This window comes from Homo sapiens, chromosome 19 (assembly GCF_000001405.40).
Source record: "Homo sapiens chromosome 19, GRCh38.p14 Primary Assembly".
Lineage (NCBI taxonomy): Eukaryota > Metazoa > Chordata > Mammalia > Primates > Hominidae > Homo > Homo sapiens.
Genome location: NC_000019.10, coordinates 49,325,269 through 49,335,405, shown reverse-complemented (window position 1 = coordinate 49,335,405; position 10,137 = coordinate 49,325,269). Strand labels below are relative to the sequence as shown.

At 48.3% G+C, this 10,137-nt stretch overlaps 1 protein-coding gene across 5 annotated transcripts in view, besides 5 other annotated features; it reads left to right on the top strand.

Annotated features, from left to right (window-relative positions):
- The window catches only part of SLC6A16 (solute carrier family 6 member 16), a 50,693-nt gene that overhangs the window by 4,925 nt on the left and 35,631 nt on the right, over window positions 1–10,137 (top strand). For 2 of the 5 annotated variants that reach the window (XM_011526860.3, XM_047438701.1), the window contains exons 2-3: window positions 3,086–3,352; window positions 3,574–3,789. The exons of 1 other annotated variant lie outside the window; for it this stretch is intronic. In XM_011526860.3, coding sequence (XP_011525162.1) covers window positions 3,788–3,789 — 2 coding nt within the window. In that variant the 5' untranslated portion in view covers window positions 3,086–3,352; window positions 3,574–3,787. Of the gene's footprint in view, window positions 1–3,085; window positions 3,353–3,573; window positions 3,790–4,144; window positions 4,331–10,137 lie in introns of those variants that run through there. 2 more of the 5 variants (XM_047438702.1, XM_006723168.4) reach the window with 2 other exon arrangements.
- Window positions 380–449: an enhancer, noted in NCBI's record as "active region_14934". NCBI's record gives its function as "activates an Ori minimal core promoter by ATAC-STARR-seq in GM12878 lymphoblastoid cells {active_cell/tissue: GM12878}" and the evidence as "EXISTENCE:reporter gene assay evidence [ECO:0000049][PMID:35858748]".
- Window positions 1,306–1,575: an enhancer, noted in NCBI's record as "active region_14933". NCBI's record gives its function as "activates an Ori minimal core promoter by ATAC-STARR-seq in GM12878 lymphoblastoid cells {active_cell/tissue: GM12878}" and the evidence as "EXISTENCE:reporter gene assay evidence [ECO:0000049][PMID:35858748]".
- Window positions 1,846–1,925: an enhancer, noted in NCBI's record as "active region_14932". NCBI's record gives its function as "activates an Ori minimal core promoter by ATAC-STARR-seq in GM12878 lymphoblastoid cells {active_cell/tissue: GM12878}" and the evidence as "EXISTENCE:reporter gene assay evidence [ECO:0000049][PMID:35858748]".
- Window positions 7,957–8,108: a silencer, noted in NCBI's record as "fragment chr19:49830555-49830706 (GRCh37/hg19 assembly coordinates)". NCBI's record gives its function as "represses an EF-1alpha promoter that drives an FKBP-Casp9 reporter gene in an ReSE screen in HepG2 liver carcinoma cells and K562 erythroleukemia cells {active_cell/tissue: HepG2 | K562}" and the evidence as "EXISTENCE:reporter gene assay evidence [ECO:0000049][PMID:32094911]".
- Window positions 8,902–9,051: an enhancer, noted in NCBI's record as "active region_14931". NCBI's record gives its function as "activates an Ori minimal core promoter by ATAC-STARR-seq in GM12878 lymphoblastoid cells {active_cell/tissue: GM12878}" and the evidence as "EXISTENCE:reporter gene assay evidence [ECO:0000049][PMID:35858748]".

The following is a 10,137-nucleotide window of genomic DNA, read 5'->3' as shown; positions in this document are numbered from 1 at the left end:
GAAGTTCCAGGGGTGGGGCTCCACCCACTCCCGCTTCATGTAAGGTGGCTTTCTGTCTCTCTCTCTGTCCCTGTCTCCCTCACCTGCTCCACTGGGACACATGCTCTGGTACCTGAGGGGCCTTGGAATTTGTGGGCACCAAGGACTCATGGGGCAGTCCCTCCCAGGTCTCCATGTCTCAGGCGCTGGGGGATCTAAAGGGACCCCTGATCTACTGGAACCCACCTCTGGGCATGGGGACCTCAGGGCTGACCCTGGACAGCAGCTGACCTCACAGACACTCTGACCTCATGGCCTGCTAAGCTCTCCCATCTCTGCATCCAGCTGTGTCTCCCATTTCCTGCCCTGGGTCTCTTGTTCCTCCTCTCTGGGTCTTTGTCCCCACCTTCCTGCTACTCCCCATCTCTGTCCCCTTATCTCAGCAGAGTCTCTCCCTCCTCTGGGTCTCTGTCCTCCTGCCTCCTGGGGTCTCTATCCTCCCTCTCTCTGTGTTTCTTTATTTTATTTATATATTTGTTTCTTTTTGAGACAGGGTCTCACTTTTCACCCAGGCTGGAGTACGGTGGGGAAAACAGCTCACTGTAGCCTGGGCTCAAGCTATCCTCCCACCTCTGCCTTCTGAGTAGCTGGGATTACAGGTGCACACTACCATGCCTGGCTAATTTTTGTATTTTTTGTAGAAATGGGGTCTTGCTATGGAGTGGGAGTGTTGTATTTTTTATATTTAATTAAAAAAAAACAGAGATAGGGTCTCACTAGGTTGCCCAGGCTGGTCTGGAACTCCTGGACTCAAGCGACCCTCCTGCCTTGGCCTCCCAAAGTGTTGGGATTACAGGCGTGAGCCACTGTGCCTGGCCTCTCTCTGCTTCTGGCCCCTTCTTTGGGTCCTTCCTCCTTTCTCTCTTCATCTCTCTTTTGTTTTTGTTTTTGAGACAGGGTCGCCCAGGCTGGAATGCAGTAGTGCGATCATAGCTCACTGCAGCCCCAACCTTCCCAGGCTCGAGCAATCCTTGCACCTCAGCCTCCCAAGTAGCTGGGACTACAGGTGCACACCACCATGCCTGGCTAATTTTCTTCATTTTTTGTAGAGATGGGAGTCTCACTGTGTTGCCTAGGCTGGTCTCAAATTTCTGGGCTCAAGTGATCCTCCTGCCTTGGCCTCCTAAAGTGCTGGGATTATGGGCGTGAGCCACTGTGCCCAGCCTGTCTTCTTTTCTCTGTCTCCCCCTTCCCCACTTGTTTTTGTGCCTCTCAGAGTCTGCAGCCTGTTCTGGACCAGGGAGCACCCAGGTGCTGGGGGCAGGGGCTGGGTACCTGGGGAAGTGAAAGTGCTACAGGCTCGAGGTGGGAAGGTCCCTGGGAGTGGGGAGGGCGCTGGGCCGTGCCAACACCCCCAGCGGAAGCTGAGCATCAGGCGGTACTTCCTGCCTCTGCAGTGGGGCCCGAGGAGCGGAGGCCCCAGAGGAGGAGGCACTGAGCCTGGGATCCTGACAGTCAGATCTGGGTCTGCAGTGCCTGGTTGCAGGTGCACACCCAGTGGCCTCTGCAGTTTCCTCTGATGTCCCCAAATTCTCTCACCTGGTTTCCTCATCTGAGGCAGCCCCACCATCTATCTAGTCATGAGGTCAAAGCTCCATCTTGTCCCCTCTTCCCCAACAGCGCATCAGTCTCTTAGCCAGATCCCTCCTGCCTGCTGAGTCTCCACTCCACCCCTCTTCTCTGTCCTGAGGGCTCAGGCAGGCTCTGGGCTCCTGCTCTCCTACCTGGACCCTGACTTTAGGCTTCTCCCTGGCTTCTAGTTTCTCCCTCCAGTCTGTCCCCCACATAGCCCCAGAGGGGTCTTTTTGAAACCCAGTCCTGAGCCACACAGTTCTGTATCCAAACGCTGAGTCACCACCTGCCTCATCCCTCAGCTTTTATTTTTTTGGTGGTTGTTGAGACAGAGTCTCACTCTTCGCCCAGGCTGGAGTACAGTGGTGCAATCAGCTGACTGCAACCTCCGCCTCCTGGGTTCAAGCGATTCTCCTGCCTCATTCTCCCAAGTAGCTGGGATTACAGGCATGACCCACTACGCCCGGCTAATTTTTGTATTTTTGGTAGAGACGGGGTTTCACCATGTTGGCCAGGCTGACCTCGAACTCCTGACCTCAAGTGATCCGCTCACCTCGGCCTCCCCAAGTGCTGGGATTACAGGCATGAGCCACCACACCCAGGTTTTTGTTGTTGTTGTTGTTTGTTTGTTTTGAGATGGAGTCTCACTCTGTTGACCAGGCTGGAGTGCAGTGGCACGATTATGGCTCACTGCAACCTCTGCCTCCTGCGTTCAAGCAATTCTCCTGTCTCAGCCTCCAGAGTAGCTGGGATTACAGGCATGCACCACCATACCTGACTAATTTTTGTATTTTTAGTACAGACAGGGTTTCACCATGTTGGCCAGGCTGGTGTTGAACTCCTGACCTCAAGTGATCCAACTGCCTTGGCCTCCCAAAGTGCTGACATTACAGGTGTAAGCCACTGCGCCCAGCCCCTCAGCTTCTGTTTCTAACCACCACCAACGCCTCTCTGCTCTACCATTAAAGTACATTGCAAACCCAGCCACTTCTTTCCAAGGCCACCATCCTAAGTCAGGTTCCCATCATTTTCTACAAAAATAATTATAGCTGATTATAGTGGGTTGCATGGCGTTCTCCAAAAAGATATGTCTATGTCCTAATCCCCAGAACTTGTGGTGACCTTATTTGGAAAAAAGGGTTTTGCGGGTATAATTACATTCAGGATCTCAAGATACTGCATTATCTGTGTGACCCCTAAATCTGATGACAAGTGTCTGTTTTTTGTTTTTGTTTTTGAGACAGAGCCTCGCTCTGTCACCCAGGCTGGAGTGCTGTGGTGTGATCTCGGCTCACTGCAACCTCCGCCTCCCAGGTTCAAGCAATTCTCTGCCTCAGCCTCCCGAGTAAATGTGATTACAGGCAGGCGCCTGCCAGCACACCCAGCTGATTTTAGTATTTTTAGTAGAGATGGGGTTTCACCATCTTGGCCAGGCTGGTCTTGAATTCCTGACCTCGTGATCCACCCACTTCAGCTTCCCAAAGTTCTGGGATTACAGGCGTGAGCCACCGCACCCGGCTGACAAGTGTCCTTCTAAGAAACACACAGAGGAGAAGACACAGAAGAGGAGAGCACCATGTGATGGTAGACACAGAAATTGGAGTTCTACAGCCACAAGCCAAGGAACTCCTGGAGCCACCAGGAGATGGAAGATGCAAAGAACTGATTTTCTCTCAGAGCCTCTGGAGGGAGTGTGGCCCTGGTGACACCTTGATTTTGGACTTCTGGCCTACAGAACCATGTGAGAATACATTTCTGTTGTTCTAAGTAGTAAGTCTGTGGTAATTTGCTATTTCAGCCATAGGAGACTAATACACCAATCCCTCCTTCCCACCCACTGATCCCTCCTCAGAGATGAGTACATGATTAACCAGAAGTCGAAGGGTAGGTGGCAGAGTGCAGTGGTGCAATCACGGCTCACTGCAGCTTTGATGCTCACCAACTTGGTTTCTTCTTTCCTAGGCACACAGGAGGACTTCATTTCCCAGGTCTCCTTGCAGTGAAGTTGAGGCCATGTGACTGGTCTTGGGCCAATGGAATGGGTGCAGAAGGGACACAGCCCATTTCTAGACTCAGCCTGAAATGTCCTCCATAATCCTTACTCTTTCTCCCTTCACTCACTGGCTGCAGGAAGCTGAGAATTATCCTTGGACTTACATAAAGCATTTTGGACTTTATGTAAGTAACAACCTGTTGTATTAAGCTACTAAGATTTTACGGTTGTTTGTTAAATCAGCTAACCTTAAACATCCTAACAACTACAAATAGAATACCTGTTACTGCATACACTATATATATCAAAACATTATTATGGGCCAGGTGAGGTGGCTCATGCCTGTAATTCCAGCACTTTGGGAGGCTGAGGCAGGAGGATCACATGAGCCCAGGAGTTCGAGACCAGCCTGGGCAACATAGTGAGACCCTGTCTACAAAAATTAACAAAAAAATTAGCTGGGCTTTGTGGTATGTACCTACAGTCCCAGCTACTCAGGAGGCTGAGGTGGGAGGACTGCTTGAGCCTGGGAGATCGAAGTTGCAGTGAGCCGTGATTGCACCACTGCACTCCAGCCTGGATGACAGAGCAAGACCCTACAGGGGAAAAAAAAGTGGAACACCAGGAGCTACCAGAAACTGAAGAGTCAAGGAAGGATTGTCCTCTGAGCCTTTGAAGGAAGTGGCGTGCTGACACCTTAATTTCGGACTTTTGGCATCCAGAACTGTGAGATAATATATTTTTGTTGCTTTAAGCCACCAAGTTTGTAGTAATTTATACAGCAGTCTCGGGAAGCGAATATACCTGCTCAATCAGAAACTCTGGGGGCGGGCCTGGCAATCTGTTTTTTTTTTTGTGTTTTTTTTTTGTCTCACTCTATTGCCCAGGCTGGAGTGCAATGGCACAACCTCGGCTCACTGCAACCTCTGCTTCCCGGGTTCAAGCGATTCTCCCGCCTCAGCCTCCTGAGTAGCTGGGATTACAGACACCCACCATCATGCCCAGCTAATTTTTGTATTTTTAGTAGAGACAGGGTTTCACCATGTTGGCCAGGCTGGTCTTGAACTCCTGACCTCAGGTGATCTGCCCACCTTGGCCTCCCAAAGTCCTGGGATTACAGGCAAGCCACTGCACCTGGCCTGGCAGTCTGTGTTTTAACAAGCCTTCCTGGTGACTGATGTGCACTAACGTTTGAGAACAGCAATTCTACCCATTGAATTCACCTGATCCCCTCCTCCTTTACTGGCAAATTCCCTCTTGCTTTTCCTCCTTCCTTCTTCACTGGCTGGTTCTCCTCAATCTTCATTGGATCGTCCTTTTTCTAGCTTCTAAAATTTGGGGAGTCCTAGCCCTTTCTAGCTACACTCACTCACGAGATGATATCATGCAGTGCCATAGTGTTCATCGCAATCTACAATACTGTTGACTTACCAATTTATATGCCTAGCCTCAAACTTTCCCCTGAACTGCGGACTCAGGAAGATTCATTTCCCAGGTCTCCTTGCAGTGAAGGACAACTTAACCTCTGCCTTTGGCTGTATAATTGACATCTCAAACTTAACACGCCCAAAACGAAACTATTGATTCCCTCCCACCTCCTGCACACTCCAGTACTTTCCTTTTCAGTAAATTGTCACTCCATCTTCCAATTCTTCAGGCCCAAAGTTTTGGAGTCTTTTTTTTTTTTTTGAGGTCTTGCTCTGTCACACAAGTGGGAGGGCACTGGCACGATCATGACTCATTGCAGCCTCAATCTCCTGGGCTCAAGTGATCTTCCCACTCAGCCTCCTGAGTAGCTGGGACAACAGATGCGTGCCACCACACCTGGCTATTAAAAAACACTTTTCTTTCCTTTAAGAGACAAGGCCGGGCTGGGCACGGTGGCTCACGCCTGTAATCCCAGCACTTTGGGAGGCCGAGGCGGGCGGATCACGAGTTCAGGAGATCGAGACCATCCTGGCTAACACAGTGAAACCCCCGTCTCTACTAAAAATACAAAAAATTAGCCAGGCGTAGTGGCGGGCGCCTGTAGTCCCAGCTATTCGGGAGGCTGAGGCAGGAGAATGGTGTGAACCTGGGAGGCAGAGCTTGCAGTGAGTGGAGATCGCACCACTGCACTCCAGCCTGGGCGACAGAGCGAGACTAGACTGTCTCAAAAAAAAAAAAAAAAAAAAAAAAAGACAAGGCCTTGCTATGTTGCCCAGGCTAGTATCCTACTATCAAACTCCTAGCCTCAAGCAATCCTCCCACCTCGCCCTTGCAAAGTGCTGGGACTACAGGTGCAAGCCACCGCTCCCGGCTGAGTCATTCTTGATTCCTCTCTTTCTCTCAGACCCCAAACCTAATCACCATTAGTTTTCTAATGCTCTGTAACAAATTACCCCAAATTTAGCAGTTTAAAACAATAAACATTTCTTAGGCCAGGAGCGGTGGCTCACTGTAATCCCAGCACTTTGGGAGGCTGAGGCAGGCAGATTACGAGGTCAGGAGTTCGAGACCAGCCTGACCAACATAGTGAAACCCCGTCTCTACTAAAAATACAAAAATTAGCTGGATGTGGTCCCACCTGTAGTCCCAGCTACTCGGGAGGCTGAGGCAGGAGAATTGCTTGAACCTGGGAGGCGGAGGTTGTGGTGAGCTGAGATCGCACCACTGCACTGCAGCCTGGGCAACAGAGCAGGACTCTATCTCAAAAAAAAAACACAATAAACATTTCTTACCTACTGTAGTTTTTGTGGGTCAGGAATCTGGGAGCAGCTTAGTTGGATGATTTCTGCTCACAGTGTTTTATGAGGTTGCAGTCAAGATGTTGGCTGGGGCTGTAGTCATCTGGAGATTTAACTACGGCTGGAGGATCCACTTCACCATGGTTCACTCACCTGGTGCTGGTTGCTGGCAGGAAATTTCAGCTCTTCTCTTATATGGATCTCTTCACAGATTGCTTGAGTGTCCTCACCGTATGGTGACTGGCTTCCTTTACAGAAATCAGTTGAAGGGAATGGGCAAGTAAGAAACAGCAATGCTTTTTATGACCTAGTCCTGAAGTTCCCCACCATTACTTATGTTCATTGGAAGCCAGTTGCTAAGGAGAGCCTGCACTCAAAGATTGGGGAAATAGACTTTATCTTTCAAAGTGTTGAAGAATTTGCAGACGTATTTTAAAACCACCACACAATCCATCAACACATCATGTCGGCTCTATTCTTGAAATAGATCCAGAATTTGACCACTTTTCACCATCTCCATTGCTATTACCCAGATCTAATCAACACCATCACTTGCCTGGACTAGAGATTTCCTCCTCACTGGGCTCTCTGCTTCTATCTTTAGCCCATTGCTATGATTTGGCTGTGTCCCCACCCAAAATCTCATCTTGAATTATAATCTTCATAATCCCCATGTGTCAAAGGAGAGACCAGGTGGAGGTAACTGAATCATGGGGGTGGTTTCCCCAGGCTGTTTTTGTGATAGTGAGTGAGTTCTCATGAGATCTGATGGTTTTATAAGGGGCTCTTCCCTCCTTTGCTTGTGAAGAAGGTGCCTTTTTTCCCCTTTGCCTTCTGCCATGATTGTAAGTTTCCTGAGGCCTCCCCAGCCAAGCTGAACTGTGAGTCAATTAAACCTCTTTTCTTCGTAAATTACCCAGTCTTGAGCAGTTCTTTACAGCAGTGTGAAAACAGAGGAATACACCCATACATGCTATTCTCTGCCCAGAAGCCAGGGGGAGCCTGCCATTAAAATGAAAGTCACTCCTTGACTCAGAACCCTCAAATAGCTTTCATCTCACCCAGAAAAAAAAGAAAAAAATTCCGACCATGACCTATAAGGGCCTCCAAATAATACTCTGGCCCCTGCCACTGCTCTGATCTGATCTGTTGCTACCCTTTCCTCAATCACTGGGATCCATTCATATCAGACTCTTTGCCATTTCCAGAACCCATCAAGTGTACTTCTTGCCTCAAGGCTTTTGCTGTTGCCATTTTCTTTGCCTGGAATGTTCTTCCCTATGCTGTTCACAAGGCTCCCTTCCTTCAGCTCTCTGCTGAAATATCACTTTCCCCAAGAGTCCTTCTTGACTACCCTGTCTAAAGTAACTCCCTATCAGCACTCTTACTCTCTGAAATTCTTTCTATTTAGGCATTTACTTTCTTTGTGCAACTGGAACGTAAAATCTTTTTCATAACTATATCCCAGGGGTCTAGGACAGTGTGGGGCACATCATTCAATAAATATTTATTGACCGACTGAGACTTTTCCTGGTGCCTTGAACACACAGTTTGCCCTGCCTCAGGGCCTTTGCACAGCCTCAAGGCTTGAGATGTTCACACACATTTTTCACCTAGCAAATAATCCTTTAAGCCTCAACTCCAGTGTTATTTCCTTAGAGAAATCCTCCTTCTAAATTAGGTCTATGGGCCGGGCGCAGTGGCTCACGCCTGTAATCCCAGCACTTTGGGAGGCTGAGGCGGGCGGATCACCTGAGGTCAGGAGTTCAAGACCAGCCTGGCCAACATGGCAGGCTGACTCTACTAAACCCTGACTCTACTAAAAATATGAAAATTAACCAGGCGTAATGGCAGGCACCTGCAACCCCAGCTACTCGGAAGGCTGAGGCAGGGAGAATTGCTTGAACCCGGGAGGCAGAGGTTGCAGTGAGCCGAGATTATGCCACTGCACTTCAGCCTGGGTGACAAAGTGAGATTGTCTCAAAAAAAAAAAAAATTCGATAGAAATAAATAGGTCTGTGGCCCTTTTCTGTCGCAGCACTTTTTTTTTTTTCCTTGAGACAGGGTCTTACCCCATCACCCAGGCTGGAGTGTAGTAGTGTGATCTTGGCTTACTGCAACTTCTGCCTCATGGTTTTAAGTGATTCTTGTGCCTCAGCCACCCGAGTAGCTGGGATTACAGGCGTGCACCACCACACCTGGCTCGTTTTTGTATTTTTAGTAGAGATGGGGTTTCACCATGTTGGCCAGGCTGGTCTTGAACTCCTGGCCTCATGTGATCCGCCCACCTTGGCCTCCCAAAGTGCTGGGATTACAGGCGTGAGCCACCATGCCCGGCCTGTCATAGCACTTAATACAATTTATAATCATGTAATTATTTGAGATTCATCATATATCTGTTTTCTTGTTGTGTGAAGCAAAACGAGGGCAGGAATGGGGTCTGTTTTGTTCTCTACACTATTCCCAGTTCCTAGCATTTAGTAGACTCTCGATAAATACGTGTTGAAAGATTGAATGATTCCCAAAGATTGTGATGAATTCTTACAGCACCCCCAAAATTTCCTCTTCATCTCTTTGTTCAATCATAACAATTTAAGCCTTTCATTCTCAAAGTGTGGCTCAGGGACTCCTGGGGGCTCTTGAAACACTTTTGGGGGTCCATGAGGTGAACATTATTTTCATAATACTACTAAGATATTATTTGCCTTTCACTTTCATTTCCTCTTTGAATATAGTGATGTTTGCCAGAAGCTACAAGACATGAGCTATTTTGACACACTCAGTGCAGAAGCAGATATGAGAATCCAGCTGTCTTCTATGAAGCCAGACATTAGAGAGATTTGCAAAAATGTAAAATGATGCCATTCTTCTCCCCAAATTTTTTCTTTTTTTTCCTTTTTTTTTTTGAGACGGAGTCTTGCTCTGTTGTCTAGGCTGGAGTGCAGTGGCAAAATCTCGGCTCATTGCAACCTCTGCCTCCTGGGTTCCAACGATTCTCCTGCCTCAGGCTCCCGAGTAGCTGGGATTACAGGTGTGTGCCACCACGCCCGGCTAATTTTTTTTTTTTTTGACTTTTAGTAGAGACGGGGTTTCATCATGTTGGCCAAGCTAGTCTCGAACTCCTGACCTCGTGATCCACCCGCCTTGGCCTCCCAAAGTGCTGGGATTACAGGCGTCAGCCACCGCGCCCAGCGCCAAAATTTCTTTTGGAGTAGAAATTATAGTTATTTTAAATAAAAATGTTATTTTGACACATAATGAATTTTTAAACAATGACTATTTTAGAAATTTATTTTAATATTGATAGATACAACTCACATAAACATACAACCCATATAAATGTAACTCATAAATTATTGGAGTCCTTAATAATTCTTAAGAGACCGGAAAGTATGAGAACGGATGACCTAAGTAAATCTTTGAGTTTTTAATTCTTGTCTGCAGCCCTAGTAGGCTTCTGAGCTCTCTTAAGGCAACGTCCCTGTCTGCCTTGTTGGACGCATATTTAAGGTTTGGTTTCTAGTAGGCGATCTTTAAGTAAATGCGAAAGGTTTGAAGGCTAGAAGGAATGAATGAGACGATTCTCCCACTTCCTACCCTCTTCTTCCTTACATGAAGTGGAAGCAAAGTGCATGTGCCAGAGAAAGGCCTTGTCTTAGAGCCCCGCCTGAAGCGTGGCATCGTGGGTGTCGGGGTGGGGTGCGGTGGGGAAGGGAGTGGCGCGTGAGCAGTCAGAGGATGTGCACACGTGCGTGCGTGTGGGGAGAGAGCAGGGAGTTGGGGAGGGCGAAGTGGTTACAGTGTTTG